At 38.7% G+C, this 27,165-nt stretch overlaps 1 protein-coding gene across 17 annotated transcripts in view, besides 1 other annotated feature; it reads right to left on the reverse strand.

Annotated features, from left to right (window-relative positions):
• The window catches only part of EYA1 (EYA transcriptional coactivator and phosphatase 1), a 350,662-nt gene that overhangs the window by 187,055 nt on the left and 136,442 nt on the right, over window positions 1-27,165 (reverse strand). The window lies entirely within an intron of this gene.
• Window positions 22,211-22,790: an enhancer, noted in NCBI's record as "NANOG-H3K27ac-H3K4me1 hESC enhancer chr8:72318933-72319512 (GRCh37/hg19 assembly coordinates)". NCBI's record gives its function as "activates a minimal SCP1, AML or CMV promoter by ChIP-STARR-seq in naive H9 embryonic stem cells {active_cell/tissue: H9 hESC(naive)}" and the evidence as "EXISTENCE:reporter gene assay evidence [ECO:0000049][PMID:30033119]".

Below are 27,165 nucleotides of genomic sequence, written 5' to 3' on the forward strand. Positions count from 1 at the left end.
CTTACAAATATCTGGATGGCAGAATATATCACCCTGTGCTGTTCTGGCAGATACTCCATCTCCTCGATGGGAATATGAGCTTCCTAAAGCAGCAACTATGTTCTGCTTTCACCTTCTCAAGATCTCAGAACAATCAAACATTTGCTTGATAAGTATTTGTTGAATGAACAAATGAATAAATGCAGTTGTTAGAAATAAATGCAGCATGAATCTTTTTCTACTAGTATTATTCTTTAGACAAGACTTTTGTGTCTTAGAAAGGCAAAAGGCAATTCAACACAGAATCCCTTTTTAGGAAAATCGTTACATTCACTGTAGATGAAATGCATCTTACTCTTGAATCCAAGTTTTTAGTATTAAGGGATATAGATTGTCGTGCTTTCTACTACTAGATTGTAGTGTTGATCATTAAGACTTTTCAAAAAGGGATGTTCACTGACGCAATAATTTATATGCAGGTACCAAACCATGGCAAGTAGACCCTTATAAATTTCAAATATTAAAATATAATCCAGGATTTTTTTTATTTTTTATTTTTTTGAGACAGCGTCTCACTCTGTCACCCAGGCTGGAGTGCAGTGGCGTAATCTTGGCTCACTGCAGCCTCAAACTCCTGGGCTCAAGCAGTTCTCCTATCTGAGCCTCCTGAGTAGAATCCCAAAAACTTTTATAACTTAGTAACTGAGGAATTAAGCAGATGGATTTCTAGATATAATGCTAGCACTTAATTTCCAATAAAAGAAAGTAAATTAAGAATTATTATGTAATTAAAATAAGGGACTAGAAACATATTCAGCAGCAGCCAAGCAGAGGGGGAGTGACCAAGTAGATGAGCCCAGTTCTCCATATGACAGAACACCCTCTAACCCTAAAAGAATAAATGATCACTCTCACCTGAGCCACCACGTAAAACAAAAATGGAAAGAAATGTAGGTACAAAAAAAGAGTTAAGAAAACAAGCAGAAAAATACAGTGCATTTTTATCTGTTACAACTATCTAAACTGTCTATTGACTATATAGCAACATCTGAAGTTTATATAATACTTTATTTATAAAGCACTTTCCCACAAGTATCTCACTAAGGGCCCACAACATTCCTTAGATTAGGAAGATCAGGTAATGTCCCTGTTCTACAGATGAAGAAATTGAGGCTCAGAGTGAGACTAAGGACAAAGAGATAGCATCAGAAGGAATACTTAAACCCAAACTTTAAAAACTTTTAACGCAATGTTTTTCCAGAATGTGAAACCCCACTTTAAAAATCCTTCTAAGTAAATATAGTTGTACTGGAATTTAGATAATTTTGAAACTCTCCAATAATTGAATAATATCTAGTTGGTGATACTTAGCATTTTACTTCTGATTGCATAAATATTCATAGGGAAACACCTAGGAGGAATGTTCAAAGCCATGAGTGGTGTGGTTCTCATTAGCACTAATAGAGATCAGGTGGATAAGCTCCCATTTAATGCTTTGAAAATCTGTCCCCGACTTTGCACCACTTAGGTAGCTGTAAAGTATACTCCTACTTGTTTTGGTTTTGTAGTAAAAATTATGCTTCACTGTATTACTTTCACGCCACTTAGGAAAATATTTCTGTTTTTCAGTAATGATAATTTTCTCTATTAGGTTAAATTATTCAGTCATACTTCTTTAGTTTCTTCAATTTTATCCTCTTCTGATTCTCTGATTGTCAAAACTCTAGGGACTCCACAAATCTCAGATCAGCACTGTCTCCAAGACCAGGGTCAACACTACAACGTGGCTGTCAAACTGCAGAGCCTTCAGGAGCCTGTATGTGAAAGATAGGGGAAGGGATAGGGCAAAATGCACTCATGAGGGAGTCGCTCAAGCTCTCAAAAGGGGTCATTTGCTGTTCCACCCAAGTTGGTTGTTGACTGTGGATTCATTGTTGCTGGCTCTTCCAAGGTTTTGAAAAAAGCCAGAAATTTATAGTTTTTCATAAGGAAGTTTAAATCTTTAAAGGCCACAATTACAAATAATTTTTTAAACACTGTATGGACCAACATTGTCTAGAGTGAACAGCACTTGTGGGCCATGAGTTGACAATAGCTAATTCAGTTTCCTATTCTAAAAAGCAGAATGGTTGACTCAGGTCATTAAGCTTCATACCATTCATTCAGATTTCAGCTGGGAAAATTGTTTTTCTCCATTGTGTATAATCCAATTGCTGGACAAATTTAGGAAAAAAACAGGATGATATAAACGTAATTAGAATATTAGAATCACAGAATGGGTACAGAGGAAGAAATTGCTTGCTCATGCCTATATAAGTGAATATTGATGAGAAGTCAAGGATGATGAATTTAATCTTATCTGCTTCTATTTCATGACAACCTGATGTAAGGATTCAAAAATAACTATAAATGGAAATTTTTATTCTCAATCAGACAACTTAGTATCATCTTGCTGACTGTAGCTTTGTGAAATGGTTCTTAACATGGAATTTATTGAGCAGATGGGGGATTAGCCATGTCAATAAACATTTTCTGGTTCCTCATGTGACAAGATTGTACCACACGCTGATAATACAGGTGAATGAGACATGTCCCCTACCCCTATAGAGCTCATGATCTATCAGGCAACTGGAATGTGTGATGCGATCGACTTCTGTAAAGATAGACTACTTTAGGGGAGTAGAGGAAAAGATTTTGGGAGCACAGAGTAGGGAAAGCATGACAGTCAGTGATGAATGACTACAGGTAAGGAAGAAACTGAATATTAAAGAATAGGAATCACTCAGGTAAGCTGGGAATGACAAGCAAAACAGCTTTTGGGATAGAAGATAGAAACAACATGATGTCTTTATCAATCTATATGCAGATGGGTGTTGACATTTAAGAGGAGAAGTAACATGGTCATCTGTTTCAGATAGACCATTCTAGTTGCAATGTGTAAATGACAGATTATATAGAGAGAAATGATAGGTAGAAACACCACTTAAGAGTGTAGCAGTGGTCCAGGTGAGAGAGACGGACTTAGACCAGAGAAAAGTGACATGCATCTTTGAGAGAAAACGGAGAGATCTGAAAAACATTTACAGTTAAATTATTGGAACAGAATGATTTATGTTATGGTAGAGCTCAGGAACAGCAATGCTGACGGCACCCACATTTCTAACTTCAGGTCACAGTGTGGACAGTGGTAGCATCCACAGAGATCAAGAACAGAGAAAAGTAGCAAATTTTAGAAAACATGCCACATACCTTTTAGATACTCTAAGTTTGAGGTACCCATGGGATATCTTGGTGGAGATTTTCAGCTATCCAAATCTTTGGGATAAAATGCAAGCTGGAGACATATTTTTGAAAATTATTAGAAATGCAGTGGAGACTAAAGCATGAGGGCAGTGGAGAACAATTAGGGTGAGTGTGTAATGAGCAGCACAGGGGCTGAACACAAAAACCCAAGCATTAGGAATCATCAGCAAAGTAGGAGAACTCATAGACTATGTGAAGAAGTCCAAGAAGAAGGGTCAAGAATAAGCTAGCATATGCCAGGAACTGTGCTAAGCCTGCACACATTGACTATAATCTCATAAGTTAATTATCATTATATTCTACCCATCTTCTAGTCAAGAAAACTGAGCTACCCTCAAAAAGAAAATACCTTGCCCAAGGTCACTATCAAGTTAAGATTCCTGTGATTCAGACCTAATCCTGCCACACTCCAAAGACTGATTAACTTTCACTTCATCCAGACACCAGTGATCCCCAAGGTCTTATAGCGAAGTGGTCAAATAAGTTAAGGGTTGAAAAGTGTCCATGGGATTTACAATATGAAGGCCACTGATAATTATGACCAGTAATTGTTATCTGGAATGAGTGAAGTGGAGTTAGCAAATGCATACAACTCTTGTAAAGAAGCTTGGGTACGACAATAGAAAAAAGAAAGCCAAGGAGCACACAGTGCTCCTAAACAGTGAGGGTGACCAGAGTTTTTCGGTTGTCTGTGAAGAACTTTACAAGGTGCTTATTATCATGATGGCTAATGTGTAATTTCACATGTAGAAAGGAAGAGATCCGAGGACCTTTCTGGAACTATGACTCTACTCATCATTTCCAGGTAGCTTCGATCTCAGCTGCCGGGGAGTAGAAACTAGAAAGAACAACCATATTATTCCATCTTCTAATTAATGCCACATTACACAAATAAAAACACAGAGCTCCTATGACACTCTGATGCTGAACCTCTATCACACAATTTTGATCGGGAATAGGAAGTGAGCAGGTCTTTCTTGGCTCAGCAGCTTGGGTCAGAGGAAGTACATTTTAATAAGCATAATAGTGATAGTCAGAATCAGCTTGAAAATGAATTGAATTAGACATATAAAGTCTTATGCTGACTGGTCCTGGTTATCAAACAGCACGCTGGCAACTTCACAGCATCCAGCTAGTTCCAGGAGACTCAGGAGGCCTGCCAGTTCCTACACACAAGTCCCTTGTAGACTAAAAGACATAGAACATTCCTCTTCTGGGCCCCTCTCACCCCTCCACACGAGAACGCCTGCCAATCTGCTTGCTCTCAGGACTTTACCAAGACAGTCAAGCAACAACAACAGAAAGAGAGAGACAGACACACACAGGCAGAGAGAGAGGGAGAAAGAAAAGAAACAACAAGGTTTCTGCCATAACCCCCAAACTCACTATTTTTTAATGGGGAAAAAAAATTCTGGCAGGGAATGCTCATGATATTTTCATTGTTTTTTTATTCCAACATGATTTATATTTAGTATACAGGGTTATTTGTTTATCTTTTTTAAAGTTTTTGAACATATTATAAATATTTGTTAAATGATATTTATTTATATTGCTAAATCCTGCTTTAGAAGAAAAACGTTAGCATATGTGTTCTCTTTTATTAATTAACAACAACAAACAGCTTCACAATATGCAGGTGAAATGAGACCTGAAATTCATTAGAAATATTCACTCATGAAATGTTTTAAATGTCCTGCATGTAACTATGAGAACTCAACAAGTTTCAAAACGTGAGTTGGCAAAGCAGATTCTTTATTACACATCAGCTTTTGTCAAAAAGGGTCAATTTAGAGCTTTTACTAGACTTGACTTTTGAAGTTAAGAATATCAACATCATGGAAAAAAATCTTTCTAACAAAAGATATTAACACCTGGAAAAAACTGATTCAAAAAAATCAAATGGTCCATGTACGACTGGTGACAGATACATGTTAAAAATCTTTTGAAGCTGAGTTTCGTACAAGATCATAACCTATTGGTCTCCAGTTACTAGCAGAGTTTTCTTGCTGTCCACCAGAAAGACCCCTTTACACTGTAATGCCAGTAGTTCAACTGGCAACTTCAAAGATCTGTAGGTTAATACTCAATACTTCCCAACCTATCCCTTTCCCTTTGTTCAGTTAATTGGGTATATATATATACATTTATATTTTTCTCCGTTTGATGCTTAACTGTTTGTACCACTATTGAATTTATCATTTATTGAATTTATCATTTAAATGCTGATTTTACCAGATGCTTTTTCTTTTGCATTTAGTAATACATGTATTTTTTCTCCTTTAAGATTTGGAGGTAATGACTTATATGTTGATAGATTTCCTTACGTTAAATCTTCCTTATATTCCTGAATATTCCTTATATTCCTTTAACGACAAAAATATTTTGGTTATGGTGTGTTCTTCTTTTAATATACTACTGGGTTTGATTTGCTAATCAAATTCTCTTAAAGCTTTGGAAATCTTGCATTCACATTTACAAGTGAAAAGTGAAATTGGATAATTCTTTTTTTTTTTTTTTTAGAGCCAGAGTCTCACTCTGTTGCCCAGGCTGGAGTGCAGTGGCACAATCAGAGCTCACTGAACTCCTGGCCTCAAGTGATCCTTCTGCCTCAGTCTCCTGAGTAACTGTGACTACAGGTATGTACCACCATGCCCAACTAATTTTTAAATTTTTTGTGGAGATGGGATCTTGCTATGCTGCTCAGGCTGGTTTTGAACTCCCAATCTCAAGCAATCCTCCCACCTGGGCCTCCCAAAGAGGTGAGTCAACATGCCTAGCAATTCATCCTTTTTAACATCTAGCTTTTGATATTTATGTGAAGCTGTTCCATAAAAATGAATAGGAAAACATTGCCATCTTTTTGTTTGAGCTGAAGTAATTTTAAAACTATAGGAATTATTCTTTCTCTGACTATAGAAGAACCTAGTCTGATTTCACTTATATTAATTTTTTTCTGCATCAATTTATTTTTTCTTTTCTTCTTAGACTCCAGTGTCATAAATGCTAGACCTATTGAAACTGTCCCATAGGTCCCTGAGACTCTCTTATTCAATCTCTTTTCTTACTATTTTTTAGATTGAATTCTATTAATCTATTTCAAGTTCACTCACTCTTTCCTTTGTCATCTCTATTCCATTATTGAGCTAAGACAGTGGAATTTTATTTAATATATTGTATTTTTCAATATAAAATTTACCTTTTTTTGTTTTTGTTTTTGTTTTTGAGACAGGGTCTCGCTCTGTCATCCAGGCTGGAGTGCAGTGGTGCGATCTCGGCTCACTGCAACCTCCACCTTCCGGGTTCAAGCAATTCTCATGCCTCAGCCACCCAAGTAACTAGGACTACAGGTGTGTGCCACCACACACAACTAATTTTTATTTTATTTTTATTTTTCGTAGAGACAGGGTTTTGCCATGTTGGCCAGGCTGGTTTTGAACTCCTGACCTCAAGTGATCTGCCCACCTCAGCCTCCCAAAGTGCTGGGATTACAGGCATGAGCTACTGTACCCAGCCAAAAATTTTCTTCTTTTGTTAATAGCTTCCGTTTCACTGTTGAGAACTCCCATCTTCCTGTTCATCTCAAGAGTGTTTATCTTTCTAGCAACTAGCATAGTTATAATAGCTTCTTTAAAATCTTTGTCTGATTGTTCCAAGATCTCTGTTATGTCAGGGTTTGTATCTATTGGTTGTCTTTTCACTTAAGAATTTGTCACCTTTTTTTATTCTTTGTATGGTGAGTAATTTTGGATTATATCTTAGATATTTTGATGATTATGTTGTAAAACTCTGGGTCCTATTAAAATCTTATGGAGAACGTTGATTTTTATTTTATTTTTAATTTTGTTTAGCAGGCAATGAATCTGGCTAATTTCAGACTACAAGTTCTATCTTACCTTCTTGGCATGGTAGTTCAATTGTCAGTTCAGATTTCAAAGCCTTTGCTATGCTGCTTTGGGACTTACCCAGGTGTGAACCATTCAGAGGTTAGTCTGGGACTTGGACAGTGGTTCATACTGTAGTACAATTCCCAAAGCCTTTGCCATGTTCTTTTTGTCTGTTCCTTGTATGTAGAGCTCAGTGGTGAGCCCAGGGTGTTTGCCATTCTGAATATAGCATTAGGAAGTCTCCTTCCCCAACTTTCTCCTTTCTAGAATCCCACTGCACCCAATCTTTAAGGGGTCCTTTGCAACTGTATTCTGGCTGAAAAATAGAGTTTCTCTCAGAACTGCAGCTGCAGCTCCTTGACTGGGGCCTGCCCTTGAGTCAAAGCAGAAAGATTAAAGAAGAGAAAGATGAAAAAATAATAGAGATTTCCCTCCATACTTTTCAAACCACAGGACTTTGCTTTCCCAATTCCTCTGTACAGAAAAACAGAATTTCTCTAAGTTTTAGTGGAGGGAACCTTCTGCTCCCACAGCTTCCCCAGTGGAGCTGTCCTCAGGGGAGGAAGGGACGGAAAAAGAAAAAAGGAAAACTCCTGAAGACTTTACCCCCGCACCCTTTGGCTTGCATTGGCTCTTTTTCTAGTTTCATGTCCAAAAAGATAAAGAATTTCTCCATTCTTGCTTCCTGGACTTCTGCAGCTACAGCGCTGTGACTAGAGACCACCTTCAGGTTAAAGCCATGACAGGAAAGAGGGGGAAAAAATGGGGCTTACTCCTATATAAGTTGCTTCATCAAGTTTTGCTCTTCCTCCCTAATCTTCCTGCTTATGATTACATTTCAGAATTCTAAATGGCTGCTTTTTGTATTTTGCTCAGAGGTCCCATTGTAATGAGGTGAGAGATAGGCTGTAGTGAGCTTACTCCATCTTGGCTGTCACTGGAAATTTTAGTGCCTTTAAAAAAGGTACTAAATGATAAATAATCATTCTCACCTGCTGTATAATTATTGGTCTTTTCAGGATTTCAGTTTCTTCTTGAGTAAATCTTTTTTGTTCATACTTGCCAGAAAAATCATTCATTTCTTCTAAAATTTCAAATGTATTGCCACAGACTTACCAAAAAAGAGGTTGTCTTAAGTCTATCTCTTTTTTTAAATCATAAGATAATATTTTTAGTGAAATTCAAATCATTTTTTACAATAAACAATATTTTCTATATGTGTTAGTTTACTCAATCTCCTCATTTTTCTATTTTATGTTTGTAATTTACCTAGGGCTCTCTAGCACATATATGTGTTTTATGTTTTCTTAATTAATAGCGGTGCACAATTGAACAGTTTAGTTGCTATTGAGTTAAAGAAAATTGGTTTCATAGAATACCTTTCTGCAATATTTGAACACATACAAAAATGCCTATCAAAAGCTAAGATATAAAACTATGTACCTCTATTTTCAATCTAAAGTCATTTTATACACTGGAAAGTAAGTACAAGTGCAATATTCACTGTAAAATATGCACTAAGCACTTTGTTGATATAAAATTTAATGAGTTCATAATTATGCAAACATTGTCATGGGGAGTGAAGGACATATAGATTCTATCTGTATTATTTCTTATAATTGCTTAAGTAATTTTCTTTTATTATTATTATTATTATTATACTTTAAGTTCTAGGGTACATGTGCACAACGTGCAGGTTTGTTACATATGTATACATGTGTCATGTTGGTGTGCTGCACCCGTTAACTCCTCATTTACATTAGGTATATCTCCTAATGCTATCCCTCCCCCCTCCAACCACTCCACGACAGTCCCCAGTGTGTGATGTTCCCCACCCTGTGTCCAAGTGTTCTCATTGTTCAATTCCCACCTATGAGTGAGAACATGTGGTGTTTGGTTTTCTGTCCTTGTGATAGTTTGCTCAGAATGATGGTTTCCAGCTTCATCCATGTCCCTACAAAGGACATGAACTCACCCATTTTTATGGCTGCATAGTATTCCATGGTGTATATGTGCCACATTTTCTTAATCCAGTCTATCACTGATGGACATTTGGGTTGGCTCCAAGTCTGCTATTGTGAATAGTGCCACAATAAACATACGTGTGCATGTGTCTTAATAGCAGCATGATTTATAATCCTTTGGGTATATGCCCAATAATGGGATGGCTGGGTCAAATGGTATTTCTAGTTCTAGATCCTTGAGGAATCATCACACTGTCTTCCACAATGGTTGAACCAGTTTACAGTCCCACCAACAGTGTAAAAGCATTCCTATTTCTCCACATCCTCTCCAGCATCTGTTTCCTGCATTTTTAATGATTGCCATTCTAACTGGTGTGAGATGGTATCTCATGGTGGTTTTTATTTGCATTTCTCTGATGGCCACTGATGATGAGCATTTTTTCAGTGTCTGTTGGCTGCATAAATGTCTTCTTTTGAGAAGTGTCTGTTCCTATCCTTCACTCACTTTTTGATGGGGTTGTTTGATTTTTTTCTTGTAAATTTGTTTAAGTTCTTTGTAGATTCTGGATATTAGCCCTTTGTCAGATGGGTAGATTGTAAAAATTTTCTCCCATTCTGTAGGTTGCCTATTCACTCTGATGGTAGTTTCTTTTGCTGTGCAGAAGCTCTTTAGTTTAAATAGATCCCTTTTGTCAACTTTCGTTTTTGTTGCCATTGCTTTTGGTGTTTTAGTCATGAAGCCCTTGCCCATGCCTATGTCCTGAATGGTATTGCCTCGGTTTTCTTCTAGGGTTGTTATGGCTTTAGGTCTAACATTTAAGTCTTTAATCCATCTTGAATTAATTTTTGTATAAGGTGTAAGGAAGGGATCCAGTTTCAGCTTTCTACATAGGGCTAGCCAGTTTTCCCAGCACCATTTATTAAATAGGGAATCATTTCCCTATTTCTTGTTTTTGTCAGGGTTGTGAAAGATAAGATGGTTGTAGATCTGTGGTATTATTTCCGGGGGATCTATTCTGTTCTATTGGTCTATATATCTGTTTTGGTACCAGTACCATGCTGGTTTGGTTACTGTAGCCTTGTAGTATAGTTTCAAGTCAGGTAGCTTGATGCCTCCAGTTTTGTTCTTTTGCTTTAGGATTGTCTTGGCAATGAGGGCTCTTTTTTGGATCCATATGAACTTTAAAGTAGTTTTTTCCAATTCTGTGAAGAAAGTCATTGGTAGCTTGATGGGGATGGCATTGAATCTATAAATTACCTTGGGCAGTATGGCCATTTTCACGATATTGATTCTTCCTATCCATGAGCGTGGAATGTTCTTCCATTTGTTTGTATCCTCTTTTATTTCGTTGAGCAGTGGTTTGTAGTTCTCCTTGAAGAGGTCCTTCACATCCCTTGTAAGGTGGATTCCTAGGTATTTTATTCTCTTTGAAGCTATTGTGAAATGGAGTTCACCCATGATTTGGTTCTCTGTTGTCTGTTATTGGTGTATAAGAATGCTTGTGATTTTTGCACATTGATTTTGTACCCTGAGACTTTGCCGAAGTTGCTTATCAGCTTAAGGAGATTTTGGGCTGAGATGATGGGGTTTTCTAAATATACAATCATGTTATTTGCAAACAGGGACAATTTGACTTCCTCTTTTCCTAATTGAATAACCTTTATTTCTTTCTCTTGCCTGATTGCCCTGGCCAGAACTTCCAACACTATGTTGAATAGGAGTGGTGAGAGAGGGCATCCCTGTCTTGTGCCAGTTTTCAAAGGGAATGCTTCCAGTTTTTGCCCATTCAGTATGATATTGGCTGTGGGTTTGTCATAGATAGCTCTTATTATTTTGAGATATGTCCCATCATTACCGAGTTTATTGAGAGTTTTTAGCATGAAGGGTTGTTGAATTTTGTCAAAGGCCTTTTCTGCATCTATTGAGATAATCATGTGGTTTTTGTCTTTGGTTCTGTTTATATGCTGGATTACATTTCTTGATTTGCATATGTTGAATCAGCCTTGCATCCCAGGGATGAAGCCCATTTGATCACGGTGGATAAGCTTTTTGATGTGCTGCAGGATTCGGCTTGCCAGTATTTTATTGAGGATTTTGCATCGATGTTCATCAGGGATATTGGTGTAAAATTCTCTTTTTTTGCTGTATCTCTGCCAGGGTTTGGTATCAGGATGATGTTGGCTTCATAAAAAGAATTAGGGAGTATTCCCTCTTTTTCTATTGATTGGAACAGTTTCAGAAGGAATGGTACCAGCTCCTGTTTGTACATGTGGTAGAATTCGGCTGTGAATCCATGTGATCCTGGACTTTTTTTGGTTGGTAGGCTATTAATTATTGCCTCAATTTAAGAACCTGTAATTGGTCTATTCAGGGATTCAACTTCTTCCTGGTTTAGTCTTGGGAGGGTGTATGTGTCGAGGAATTTATCCATTTCTTCTAGATTTTCTAGTTTATTTGCGTAGAGGTGCTTATAGTATTCTCTGATGGTAGTTTGTATTTCTGTGGGATCGGTGGTGATATCCCCTTTCTCATTTTTTATTGTGTCTATTTGATTCTTCTCTCTTTTCTTCTTTATTAGTCTTTCTAGCGGTCTATTAATTTTGTTGATCTTTTCAAAAAACCAGCTCCTGGATTCATTGATTTTTTGAAGGGATTTTTGTGTCTCTATTTCCTTCAGTTCTGCTCTGATCTTAGTTATTTCTTGTCTTCTGCTAGCTTTTGAATGTGTTTGCTCTTGCTTTTCTAGTTCTTTTAATTGTGATTTTAGGTTGTCAATTTTAGATCTTTCCTGCTTTCTCTTGTGGGCATTTAATGCTATAAATTTCCCTCTACACACTGCTTTAAATGTGTCCCAGAGATTCTGGTATGTTGTGTCTTTGTTCTCATTGGTTTCAAAGAACATCTTTATTTCTGCCTTCATTTCGTTATATAGCCAGTAGTCATTCAGGAGCAGTTGTTCAGTTTCCATGCAGTAGAGTGGTTTTGAGTGAGTTTCTTAATCCTGAGTTCTAGTTTGATTGCACTGTGGTCTGTGAGACAGTTTGTTATAATTTCTGTTCTTTCACATTTGCAGAGGGGTGCTTTACTTCCAACTATGTGGTCAATTTTGGAATAAGTGTGATGTGGTGCTAAGAATGTATATTCTGTTGACTTGGGGTGCAGAGTTCTGTAGATGTCTGCTAGGTCATCTTGGTGCAGAGCTGAGTTCAATTCCTGGATATCCTTGTTGACTTTCTGTGTCGTTGATCTGTCTAATGTTGACAGTGTGGTGTCAAAGTCTCCCATTATTATTGTGTGGGAGTCTAAATCTCTTTATAGGTCTCTAAGGACTTGCTTTATGAATCTGGGTGCTCCTGTATTGGATGCATATATATTTAGCATAGTTAGCTCTTCTTGTTGAATTGATCCCTTTACCATTAAACAATGGCCTTCTTTGTCTCTTTTGATCTTTGTTGATTTAAAATCTGTTTTATCAGAGACCAGGATTGCAACCCCTGCTTTTTTTTGTTTTCCATTTGCTTGGTAGATCTTTCTCCATCCCTTTATTTTGAGCCTATGTGTGTCTCTGCATGTGAGATGGGTTTCCTGAATACAGCACACTGATGGGTCTTCACTCTTTATCCAATTTGCCAGTCTGTGTCTTTTAATTGGAGCATTTAGCCTATTTACATTTAAGGTTAATATTGTTATGTGTGAACTTGATCCTGTCATTATGATGTTAGCTGGTTATTTTGCTCATTAGTTGATGCAGTTTCTTCCTAGCATCGATGGTCTTTACAATTTGGCATGTTTTTGCAGTGGCTGGTACTAGTTGTTCCTTTCCATGTTTAGTGCTTCCTTCAGGAGCTCTTGTAAGGCAGGCCTGGTGTTGACAAAATCTCTCAGCACTTATTTGTCTGTAAAAGATTTTATTTCTCCTTCACATATGAAGTTTAGTTTGGCTGGATATGAAATTCTGGGTTGAAAATTCTTTTCTTTAAGAATGTTGAATATTGGCCCCCACTCTCTTTTGGCTTATAGAGTTTCTGCTGAGAGATCCACTGTTAGTCTGATGGGCTTCCCTTTGTGAGTAACCCAACCTTTCTCTCTGGCTGCCCTTAACATTTTTTCCCTCATTTCAACTTTGGCAAATCTAACAATTGTGTGTCTTGGAGTGGCTCTTCTCGAGGAGTATCTCTGTGGTGTTCTCTGTATTTCCTGAATTTGAATGTTGGCCTGCCTTGCCACGTTGTGGAAGTTCTCCTGGATAACATCCTGCAGAGTGTTTTCCAACTTGGTTCCATTCTCCCCGTCACTTTCAGGTACACCAATCAGACATAGATTTGGTGTTTTCACATAGTTCCATATTTCTTGGAGGCTTTGTTCATTTCTTTTTAATCTTTTTTCTCTCAACTTCTCTTCTCACTTCATTTCATTCATTTGGTTTTCAATCACTGACACCCTGTCTTCCACTTGATCAAATCTTGTACTTATGCTTGTGCATGTGTCACGTAGTTCTTGTGCCATGGTTTTCAGCCCCATCAGGTCATTTAAGGACTTCTCTACACTGTTTATTCTAGTTAGCCATTCATCTAATCTTTTTCCAAGGTTTTTAGCTTCTTTGCAATGGGTTCAAACATCCTCCTTTAGCTCAGATAAGTTTGTTATTACTTATTGTCCGAAGCCTTCTTCTCTCAACTCGTCAAAGTCATTCTCTGTCCAGCTTTGTTCCATTGCTGGCCAGGACCTGCGTTCCTTTGGAGGAGAAAAGGCACTCTGATTTTTAGAATTTTCAGCTTTTCTGCTCTGGTTTCTTCCCACCTTTGTGGTTTTATCTACCTTTGGTCTTTGATGTTGGTGACGTACAGATGGGGTTTTGGTGTGGATGTCCTTTCTGTTTTAGTTTTCCTTCTAACAGTCAGGACCCTCAGCTGCAGGTCTGTTGGAGTTTACTGGAGGTCCACTCCAGACCCTCTTTGCCTCAGTATCACCAGTGGAGGCTGAAGAACAGCAAATATTGCAGAACAGCAAATGTTGCTGCCTGATCCTTCCTCTGGAAGCTTCGTCTCAGAGGGGCATCCAGCTGTATGAGCTGTCAGTCAGTCCCTACTGGGAGGTGTCTCCCATTTAGGCTACTTGGGGGTCAGGGACCCACTTGAGGAGGCAGTCTGTCTGTTCTCAGGTCTCAAACTCCGTGCTGGGAGAACCACTACTCTCTTCAAAGCTGTCAGACAGAGACATTTAAGTCTGCAGAGGTTTCTGCTGCCTTTTGTTCAGCTATGCCCTGCCCCAAGAGGTGGAGTCTACAGAGGTAGGCAGGCCTCCTTGAGTATGGTGGGCTCCACCCAGTTCGAGCTTCCTGGCCGCTTTGTTTACCTACTCAAGCCACAGCAATGGCAGATGCCCCTCCGACAGCCTTGCTGCTGCCTTGCAGTTCAATCTCAGACTGCTGTGTTAGCAGTAAGTGAGGCTCTGTGGGCGTGGGACCCTCCAAGCCATGTGCGGGATATAATCTCCTGGTGTGCCGTTTGCTAAGGCAGTTGGAAAACCGCAGTATTAGGGTGGGAGTGTCCTGATTTTCCCGGTACCGTCTGTCACGGCTTCCCTTTGCTAGGAAAGGGAATTCCCTGACCCCTTGTGCTTCCCGGGTGAAGCGATGCCCTGCCCTGCTCCATGGGCTGAACCCACTGTCTGACAAGCCCCAGTGAGATGAATCCAGTACCTCAGTTGGAAATGCGGAAATCACCCGTCTTCTGCATCACTCACGCAGGGAGCTGCAGACTGGGCTGTTCCTACTCGGCTATCTTGGAACCTCCTCCTGCTTATGTCTCAAGTCTGTCTCTTCTATACATGTGGTTATATCTCCTTATGTGACATATCTTTGTTTTAACTTTCCCTTTCACAAAATCAGGCACAGCCAAATCATGAATGAACTCACATTCACAATTGCTATAAGAAGAGTAAATACCTAGGAATACATCTAACAAAGGAAGTGAAGGACCTCTTCAAGGAGAACTACAAACCAGTGCTCAAGGAAATCAGAGAGGACACAAACAAATGGAATAACATTCCATGTTCATGGATAGAAAGAATCAATATTGTGAAAATGGCCATACCATACTGCTCAAAGTAATTTATCGATTCAATGCTATTCCCACTAAACTACCATTGAAATGCTTCACAGGATCAGAAAAAAACTACTTTAAAATTCATATGGAGCCACAAAAGAGCCTGTATAGCCAAGACAATCCTAAGCAAAAAGAACAAAGCTGGAGGCATCATGCTACCTGACTTCAAACTATACTACAAGGCTACAGTAACCAAAACAGAATGGCTCTGGTATAAAAATCGACACATGGACCAATGGAACAGAACAGAGATCTCAGAAATAAGACTGCACATCTACATGCATCTGTCTTCAACAAACCTGAGAAACAGCAATGGGGAAAGGATTCCCTATTCCAAAAAATGGTGCTGGGAGAACTGGCTAGCCACATGCAGAAAATTGAAACTGGACCCCTTCCTTACACCTTATACTAAAATTAACTCAAGATGAATTAAAGACTTAAGTGTAAAACCCAAAACTATAAAAACCCTAGATGAAAACCTAGGCAATACTATTCAGCACATAGGCGCAGGCAAAGATTTCATGATGAAAACATCAAAAGCAATTGCAACGAATGCAAAAATTGACAAATGAAATCTAATTGAACTAAAGAGCTTCTGCACAGCAAAAGAAATTATCATCAGAGTGAACAGACAGCCTATAGAATGGGAGAAAATGTTTGCAATCTACCAGTCTGACAAAGGTCTAATATCCAGAAGGTACAAGGAACTTTAAAAAATTTACAAGAAAAAAAAACATTAAAAAGTGGGCAAAGGACAGGAATAGACACTTCTCAAAAGCAAACATTTATGCAGCCAACAGACATGAAAAAAGCACAACATCACTGATCATTTAAGAAATGCAAATAAAAACCACAGTGAGATGCCATTTCGCATCAGTCAGAATGGCATTTATTAAAAAGTCAAGAAACAACAGTTGCTGGTGAGGCTGTGGAGCAATAGGAATGCTTTTACACTGTTGGTGGGAAGGTAAATTAGTTCAACCATTGTGGAAGACAGTGTGGCAATTCCTCAAAGACCTAGAACTAGAAATACCATTTGACCTATCAATCCTATTACTGGGTATATACCCAAAGGAATATAAATCATTCTATTATTAAGACATATGCATGCATATGTTCACTGCAGCACTATTTACAATGACAAAGGCATGAAATCAACCCAAATGCCCATCAATGATAGAATGGATAAAGGAAATGTGGTACGTATACACCATGGAATACTATGCAGCCATAAAAAGGAATGAGATCATGCCCTTTTCAGGGACATGGATGGAGTTGGAAGCCATTATCCTCGGCAAACTAACGCAGGAACAGAAAACCAAACACTGCATGTTCTCAATTATAAGTGTGAGCTGAACAATGAGAACACATGGACACAGGGAGGGGAACGAACACACTGGGGCTTCTCAGGAGGGTGGTGGGAGGGAGGCATCAGGATAAATAGCTAATGCATTCTGGGCTTCATACCTAGGTGACAGATTGATAGATGCAGCAAACCACCATGGCACACATTTACCTGTGTAACAAACCTGCATGTCCTGCACATGTATCCCAGAACTTAAAATAAATTTTTTAAAAATCAGACACAGCAAGAGTTTCTCTATTTTATTACCTTTCAACAAGAAGATTTCAATTTTATTCTTTCATTTTCTTTAACTTCGGTCTTTATTAATCACTATCATCCCAATATCTGCTGTTTACTTTGTTAGTTTCTCATTACTGCAAGTAAATAATTAATTTTCATTGTTTTCAGAATAAAATCACTTACAGCTTACCTTTTCCTCTGAAACATATTAGCATATGCATATTAGCATATTTCACAGGTTTTGCTATGAAGCGTTCTTATGGCATAGTGGTTAAGAGTAGAGGTTCTTTGAATTCCAACTATTGTCTCTTGGACAGTTTACTCAACCTCTCCATTGCCTCAGTTTCTTCATCAGTCAAATGGGAATAATAATAGTACAGAATTTCTAAGATTATCCTAAAGTTGGAGACCCTCTACGTAAAAGGGCTTAGAAGCTCCGCTTGGCATTGAGAAAGCTTTCGATAAATCCTTGTTGTTCTTGTTACCACTACTACTACCACCACTTTCTGAATCATTTTTACTAAGCCCCACTTAAATGAATTATAGTTTTTCTCTGTCTGCTTATGATTTTTTCCCTCAGCATCCATAAAGCCAGGCTATTAAAATCTCACAAGTAGAGACAAATGAGTGGATTAAGGATGCCAGTGATATCTCTGACCGTAAGAACTGTCCAGTCACTGCCCTTATTAAGCACTGGAAAACAGTCTCTGCTTCTAAATCTGTCTGGTACAAGTAAAGGTCTCTTCCCACCCTCAGGAACTTGAGTTATTCTGCCCACCATTGTAGGTCTAGGTCCTCTCCAAGGCTGTACATTTGATAGGATTGAGCCATTTGAGAACCAGATGCACCAAATGGGCAGGTTTCTACTTTCTGTGCTCCTGCAAGGAATCACAAGTTTGTGGTCTGCTTCCCCAGACCTCAGTTAGAGGCAGGTTTTTTTCCCCTCCACTTGCTTTCTCTCAGATTCAAAAAGACGAAGTCCAGGGTTTACTAGCAATCATAAGCTGAAAACGGGGCATGAGAGCTACCCTGGAAGAAATAAAAATTTCACTCCCAATAGCAACAAAAACAAGATACCTAAGAATACACTTAACATGAAAGGTATGGGGCTTTGTAAAGAAAACAATAAACTATTATTAAGTAGTATAGACCCAAACACATGAATAAAATGTTACATGCCCACAAAAGAAAAGGCTTAATATTCTAAAGTTATTTTTTAATTAAAATTTAACGTATACAATAATGTAATTCAAAGCAAAGTGTATTAAGTTTGGGGTTATGAGAGAACTGAGTAAAATTAGTTCTGAGTTTATATGAAATAAAATATGTCCAAGAATATCCTCCCAAATTTTGCATTGAAGAGTAGGGCAAGACTGGACTTCACAGATAATACAAGTTATTATAAGATTATGCTAATTAAAATGGTATGCTTTTGGCATAGGAATATATACAGAAATTAGCAGAATAACAAAGAAAGACAAAAATAAATCTAAATATATATGGATATTAATTCATGACAAAGGTGCCATTTCAATTCAGTAGAAAAAGTAGAACTTATTTAATAAATACTGTAAGCATAGCTGGCTGGGAAAATAATTAAAATTTGCATGCACACTATGCAGAGATCAATTCCAGATGAATTAACTTCAAGCATAAATGATAAAAAATATTAAAAAGAAAACTAGGATATCATTTGTGCAAGCTTTGAGTGGGTGAGATTTTCCCAGGCAAAATGGTAAACCCAAAAGCTACAAAGGAGAAGACAAATAGAATTGACTATATAGATATTTTAAACTGTTGTATGGCATAAGACAGCATAACTGAAGTCAAAGATGACAGACTGAGAAGATATTTGACAGAAACTGTGTTCACAATCGTAAGCAAATCTCCACACTTGATTAGAAAAAGGTGAGCAATCCAATACAAAATTGTTCAAAGAATATGATCAGACAATTGGCAGAAGAAGAAATCCAAATGGCCAATAAACATGAAAAGAAATGTATCATTACTATCAAACCTAAGAAATTGACACACATAAAAAGTGTTCAAGGGGCAGTGCTGAAGAACAGCAGAGTTGTGAAATGGAATTCACATAGGATGCTGGTGGAGGTGAAAAATGCCACAACATATTGGAAACATGAGTTGGCAGTATTTATTCAAACAAGCTTTTCAGTTTGCATATACAGGCTATGACCAAAACTCGGACTTGAGATTATATCCTATTGACATAAAAAAGGCGAGTATATAAGGACTTTCACTGCACCATTTTGGTTACTGCAAAAATGGGATCTACTTGATCATCTACCAGTAGATAATAAATTATATTTTAAATTACAGGTGTGAAAGAACTGCACTGCACTTCTTAAAAGAATCAGATACAGCCATATCTATGAACCCGAGGAGATGTCTACTTTCAAGCATAAAAACAAGCTGCAGAGTGATATGTACACCATGATACCATTTAAAAACAAAAACAAAGTCTTACAAATAATAGCTATGTTTGGAAAAGGAGGGAGAAAGCCATAAAAGTATACATCCCAAGCTGATAGCACTGGTTATTTCAAGAGGATGGGAATGGGAGGAGGTGGAGGGAAGGTTATTATCTTTCTTTACACATATTTGGATTGTTTCACTTCTTAAAGTACATACTTGTTTTTCGTGACTTCAGAAAACATTAAGGACATTTAAAAAATAATTGTGCCTTTTTGGAATTGATTGTTGTGGTCAGTTTGACTACAGCACAGTGATTGGAAATGGAACTACGAAGTCAGATTGAAAATGGCAACAGGGTCCAAATAATGAAGGACGAACATATTTCATCCCTACTTAGGAGTATTTTGTGTTTAAGAAAGGAAGTGATCTCATCAGAAATGCACATTTTAAAAAACAATACAATTTAGAGCAGGAGTAGGGCATTTTGGAGTTGTCCATATCATAGTCATTGAAAAGCCCCAGCAAGAGGGAGAGGAAGAAGAAAATACAAAAATAATGTTTTTCAAACTACTGGTTACAATGTATTAATGGGTCTTGGAATGACTTGAATGGCTTGCTACTAAGATTTTTGAAAAATGAAATAGAATATAAATATCAGTGGTCACCACACTTCATAAGAGTGTTAGTCCATGAATTTTTTAGCCATATAGATATTCACATATGCAAATATGGCAAATATATTTTTACTGAATTGTGATGAAAAATGTTTCCAAGTGTGGGTTGCAGTTTAAAATGTTTAAAAGCTAGAGGTAAAACTGACAGAACACATCATCTGATAGATTGTGAAGTACAGGAAGCGATAATCAAATGATGTTAAGATTCAGAAATATATAGGCCTGGGGCGGTGGCTCATGCCTGTAATCCCAGCACTTTGGGAGGCCAAGGCGGGTGGATCACGACGTCAGGAGATCGAGACCATCCTGCTTAACACGGTGAAACCCCGTCTCTACTAGTAATACAAAAAATTAGCCAGATGTGGTGGCGGGCGCCTGTAGTCCCAGTTACTCAGGAGGCTGAGGCAGGAGAACGGCGCGAACCCGGGAGGCGGAGCTTGCAGTGAGCCGAGATTGCGCCAGTGCACTCCAGCCTGGGCGACAGAGCGAGACTCCACCTCAAAAAAAAAAAAAAAAAAAAAAAAGATTCAGAAATATACAAAAGGAAGGGATAACACACTTCACCTTATTTTACATAGCCACAGCCACCTCTAGGACACCACCTCTTCAGTTAAAGTCTACTCTAGGATACCTGAATAAAATTAGGATTCAGGCCAATTTTTACAAATAAGAGTAGTACAAGGTGCCAATATGGTATCATATTACACGTTCCAGAAAGGTAAATGGCCGTAAATATGTCCCCTCTTCTAGCACCTGAAATTCTACAATTAGCTTATTTCCTTTTCTGAATCATTTCAGATTCAGCTAGTCCATTTCAGATCAGCTTTAAAAAACAAACAACAACAACAACAAACAAGAGATGCTATTTAGAACAATGATTGCTCAAGACCCTTCACTCATGCCCCTACTCTCCTCTCCTGTCCAACCTTTTTTCGGGATAATTAACTCTTAACCACAGAATGTGGGTCAATCAGAATTAAAGACTAGACCCCTTTCTCCTTTGAGCCACCTGCTGTTTCTGGGTTCAGGTGTCTGTGCAATTGTTATTACACTTCATTTCTTTGTTGCTTCAGTATGTAAGGCCCTTGATTATAGAGGAAGTTGTTTATTATCACTGTTATTTTAATTTATCTTGATTTCACCAGCATCTGCACTATGTCTGGTACACAAAAGGTACAAAATTAGAATGGGTGAATAAATGAATGCACGCTAAGCCACTCACTAAATTCTCTTTCCATCTTTTACAAGTCTTTGCTTGGTAAACATCCACCTTCCTTGGATATTAAGCTTCTATGATCTGGGTGCTTTTCCGTTGTTATTTGATGAGCATGTGCAACCTTTCCATATACCCCTTACAAAAACAAAAACAAAGAGCAAAACCTTCCTCAAATTTTAAACCTATTACTTTCCTTCTTATCACTGACAAACTTTCTGGAAAACTACTCACATTTTACTATCTTCCTTTTCTCAATTGCATTCGCCTCTCAAATCTTAATATATGGCATCCCCTGATCACAGCCACAATTTGCAGGAAATATAGATGACAGAGAAACAGACAGCATAGGGATATCATTAACAAAATCCAGACTGTGGCAAACTTTACAGGAGAAACAACTCAATTTCTTTAACAACCAGTGGCATATTCATATGTCCAAACTCAGCAAATTGTATCCACTACATATGTGCAGTTTTTTGTGTATCAGTTATACCTCAATAAAGCTGTAAAACAACAGCAACAACAATTAATTGCAATAAATGAAGATAAAAGAGAGAGATGTAGGTAAGCATAGATTTAAAAGATATTAAACAATTTCAATGCATAGACATTTTCATTCCCATCAACTTTTATAAAGCAATTTATGAATTCACAAAAAATGGTGGGAAATGACCATTACAGAAATGAGAATTAAGTAGATATTTGATGACATAAAGAAATTGTTGTTGAGGGAGGAGCCAAGATGGCCGAATAGGAACAGCTCCGGTCTACAGCTCCCAGCGTGAGCGACGCAGAAGACAGGTGATTTCTGCATTTCCATCTGAGGTACCGGGTTCATCTCACTAGGGAGTGCCAGACAGTGGGCGCAGGCCAGTGGGTGTGTGCACCGTGTGCGAGCCGAAGCAGGGTGAGGCATTGCCTCCCTTGGGAAGCACAAGGGGTCAGGGAGTTCCCTTTCCCAGTCAAAGAAAGGGGTGACGGATGCACCTGGAAAATCGGGTCACTCTCACCCGAATATTGCGCTTTTCAGACTGGCTTAAAAAACCGCTCACCAGGAGATTACATCCTGCAACTGGCTCGGAGGGTCCTACGCCCACGGAATCTCGCTGATTGCTAGCACAGCAGTCTGAGATCAAACTGCAAGGCGGCAGCGAGGCTGGGGGAGGGGCGCCCGCCATTGCCCAGGCTTGCTTAGGTAAACAAAGCAGCCGGGAAGCTCGAACTGGGTGGAGCCCACCACAGCTCAAGGAGGCCTGCCTGCCTCTGTAGGCTCCACCTCTGGGGGCAGGGCACAGACAAACAAAAAGACAGCAGTAACCTCTGCAGACTTAAATGTCCCTGTCTGACAGCTCTGAAGAGAGCAGTGGTTCTCCCAGCACGCAGCTGGAGATCTGAGAACGGGCAGACTGCCTCCTCAAGTGGGTCCCTGACCCCTGACCCCCGAGCAGCCTAACTGGGAGGCACCCCCCAGCAGGGGCACACTGACACCTCACACGGCAGGGTATTCCAACAGACCTGCAGCTGAGGGTCCTGTCTGTTAGAAGGAAAACTAACAAACAGAAAGGACATCCACACGGAAAACCCATCTGTACATCACCATCATCAAAGACCAAAAGTAGATAAAACCACAAAGATGGGGAAAAAACAGAACAGAAAAACTGGAAACTCTAAAACGCAGAGCGCCTCTCCTCCTCCAAAGGAACGCAGTTCCTCACCAGCAACGGAACAAAGCTGGATGGAGAATGACTTTGACGAGCTGAGAGAAGAAGGTTTCAGACGATCAAATTACTCTGAGCTACGGGAGGACATTCAAACCAAAGGCAAAGAAGTTGAAAACTTAAAAAAATTTAGAAGAATGTATAACTAGAATAACCAATACAGAGAAGTGCTTAAAGGAGCTGATGGAGCTGAAAACCAAGGCTCGAGAACTACGTGAAGAATGCAGAAGCCTCAGGAGCCGATGCGATCAACTGGAAGAAAGGGTATCAGCAATGGAAGATGAAATGAATGAAATGAAGCGAGAAGGGAAGTTTAGAGAAAAAAGAATAAAAAGAAATGAGCAAAGCCTCCAAGAAATATGGGACTATGTGAAAACACCAAATCTACATCTGATTGGTGTACCTGAAAGTGATGCGGAGAATGGAACCAAGTTGGAAAACACTCTGCAGGATATTATCCAGGAGAACTTCCCCAATCTAGCAAGGCAGGCCAACGTTCAGATTCAGGAAATACAGAGAACACCACAAAGATACTCCTTGAGAAGAGCAACTCCAAGACACGTAATTGTCAGATTCACCAAAGTTGAAATGAAGGAAAAAATGTTAAGGGCAGCCAGAGAGAAAGGTCGGGTTACCCTCAAAGGGAAGCCCATCAGACTAACAGCGGATCTCTCGGCAGAAACCCTACAAGCCAGAAGAGAGTGGGGGCCAATATTCAACATGCTTAAAGAAAAGAATTTTCAACACAGAATTTCATATCCAGCCAAACTAAGCTTCATAAGTGAAGGAGAAATAAAATACTTTACAGACAAGCAAATGCTGAGAGATTTTGTCACCACTAGGCCTGCCCTAAAAGAGCTCCTGAAGGAAGCGCTAAACATGGAAAGGAACAACTGGTACCAGCCGCTGCAAAATCATGCCAAAATGTAAAGGCCATCGAGACTAGGAAGAAACTGCATCAACTAACGAGCAAAAACACCAGCTAACATCATAATGACAGGATCAAATTCACACATAACAATATTAACTTTAAATGTAAATGGACTAAATTCTCCAATTAAAAGACACAGACTGGCAAGTTGGATAAAGAGTGAAGACCCATCAGTGTGCTGTATTCAGGAAACCCATCTCACGTGCAGAGACACACATAGGCTCAAAATAAAAGGATGGAGGAAGATCTACCAAGCAAATGGAAAACAAAAAAAGGCAGGGGTTGCAATCCTAGTCTCTGATAAAACAGACTTTAAACCAACAAAGATCAAAAGAGACAAAGAAGGCCATTACATAATGGTAAAGGGATCAATTCAACAAGAGGAGCTAACTATCCTAAATATATATGCACCCAATACAGGAGCACCCAGATTCATAAAGCAAGTCCTGAGTGACCTACAAAGAGACTTAGACTCCCACACATTAATAATGGGGGACTTTAACACCCCATTGTCAACATTAGACAGATCAACGAGCCAGAAAGTCAACAAGGATACCCAGGAATTGAACTCATCTCTGCACCAAGCGGACCTAATAGACATCTACAGAACTCTCCACCCCAAATCAACAGAATATACATTTTTTTCAGCACCACACCACACCTATTCCAAAATTGACCACATACTTGGAAGTAAAGCTCTCCTCAGCAAATGTAAAAGAACAGAAATTATAACAAAGTATCTCTCAGACCACAGTGCAATCAAACTAGAACTCAGGATTAAGAATCTCACTCAAAGCCGCTCAACTACATGGAAACTGAACAACCTGCTCCTGAATGACTACTGGGTACATAACGAAATGAAGGCAGAAATAAAGATGTTCTTCGAAACCAATGAGAACAAAGACACAACATACCAGAATCTCTGGGACGCATTCAAAGCAGTGTGTAGAGGGAAATTTATAGCACTAAATGCCCACAAGAGAAAGCAGGAAAGATCCAAAATTGACACCCTAACATCACAATTAAAAGAACTAGAAAAGCAAGAGCAAACACATTCAAAAGCTAGCAGAAGGCAAGAAATAACTAAAATCAGAGCAGAACTGAAGGAAATAGAGACACAAAAAACCCTTCAAAAAATTAATGAATCCAGGAGCTGGTTTTTTGAAAGGATCAACAAAATTGATAGACCGCTAGCAAGACTAATAAAGAAAAAAAGAGAGAAGAATCAAATAGACACAATAAAAAATGATAAAGGGGATATCACCACCGATCCCACAGAAATACAAACTACCATCAGAGAATACTACAAACACCTCTACGCAAATAAACTAGAAAATCTAGAAGAAATGGATACATTCCTCGACACATACACTCTCCCAAGACTAAACCAGGAAGAAGTTGAATCTCTGAATAGACCAATAACAGGAGCTGAAATTGTGGCAATAATCAATAGTTTACCAACCAAAAAGAGTCCAGGACCAGATGGATTCAGAGCCGAATTCTACCAGAGGTACAAGGAGGAACTGGTACCATTCCTTCTGAAACTATTCCAATCAATGGAAAAAGAGGGAATCCTCCCTAACTCATTTTATGAGGCCAGCATCATTCTGATACCAAAGCCAGGCAGAGACACAACCAAAAAAGAGAATTTTAGACCAATATCCTTGATGAACATTGATGCAAAAATCCTCAATAAAATACTGGCAAACCGAATCCAGCAGCACATCAAAAAGCTTATCCACCATGATCAAGTGGGCTTCATCCCTGGGTTCAATATAAGGCTGGTTCAATATACGCAAATCAATAAATGTAATCCAGCATATAAACAGAGCCAAAGACAAAAACCACATGATTATTTCAATAGATGCAGAAAAAGCCTTTGACAAAATTCAACAACCCTTCATGCTAAAAACTCTCAATAAATTAGGTATTGATGGGACGTATTTCAAAATAATAAGAGCTATCTATGACAAACCCACAGCCAATATCATACTGAATGGGCAAAAACTGGAAGCATTCCCTTTGAAAACTGGCACAAGACATGGATGCCCTCTCTCACCACTCCTATTCAACATAGTGTTGGAAGTTCTGGCCAGGGCAATCAGGCAGGAGAAGGAAATAAAGGGTATTCAATTAGGAAAAGAGGAAGTCAAATTGTCCCTGTTTGCAGACGACATGATTGTTTATCTAGAAAACCCCATCGTCTCAGCCCAAAATCTCCTTAAGCTGATAAGCAACTTCAGCAAAGTCTCAGGATACAAAATCAATGTACAAAACTCACAAGCATTCTTATACACCAACAACAGACAAACAGAGAGCCAAATCATGAGTGAACTCCCATTCACAATTGCTTCAAAGAGAATAAAATACCTAGGAATCCAACTTACAAGGGATGTGAAGGACCTCTTCAAGGAGAACTACAAACCACTGCTCAAGGAAATAAAAGAGGATAGAAACAAATGGAAGAACATTCCATGCTCATGGGGAGGAAGAATCAATATCGTGAAAATGGCCATACTGCCCAAGGTAATTTACAGATTCAATGCCATCCCCATCAAGCTACCAATGACTTTCTTCACAGAATTGGAAAAAACTACTTTAAAGTTCATATGGAACCAAAAAAGAGCCCGCATCGCCAAGTCAATCCTAAGCCAAAAGAACAAAGCTGGAGGCATCACACTACCTGACTTCAAACTATACTACAAGGCTACAGTAACCAAAACAGCATGGTACTGGTACCAAAACAGAGATATAGATCAATGGAACAGAACAGAGCCCTCAGAAATAACGCCGCATACCTACAACTATCTGATCTTTGACAAACCTGAGAAAAACAAGCAATGGGGAAAGGATTCCCTATTTAATAAATGGTGCTGGGAAAACTGGCTAGCCATATGTAGAAAGCTGAAACTGGATCCCTTCCTTACACCTTATACAAAAATCAATTCAAGATGGATTAAAGATTTAAACGTTAGACCTAAAACCATAAAAACCCTAGAAGAAAACCTAGGCATTACCATTCAGGACATAGGCGTGGGCAAGGACTTCATGTCCAAAACACCAAAAGCAATGGCAACAAAAGCCAAAATTGACAAATGGGATCTAATTAAACTAAAGAGCTTCTGCACAGCAAAAGAAACTACCATCAGAGTGAACAGGCAACCTACAAAATGGGAGAAAATTTTCACAACCTACTCATCTGACAAAGGGCTAATATCCAGAATCTACAATGAACTCAAACAAATTTGCAAGAAAAAAACAAACAACCCCATCAAAAAGTGGGCGAAGGACATGAACAGACACTTCTCAAAAGAAGACATTTATGCAGCCAAAATACATGAAAAAATGCTCATCATCACTGGCCATCAGA

Source organism: Homo sapiens, chromosome 8, assembly GCF_000001405.40.
Source record: "Homo sapiens chromosome 8, GRCh38.p14 Primary Assembly".
Lineage (NCBI taxonomy): Eukaryota > Metazoa > Chordata > Mammalia > Primates > Hominidae > Homo > Homo sapiens.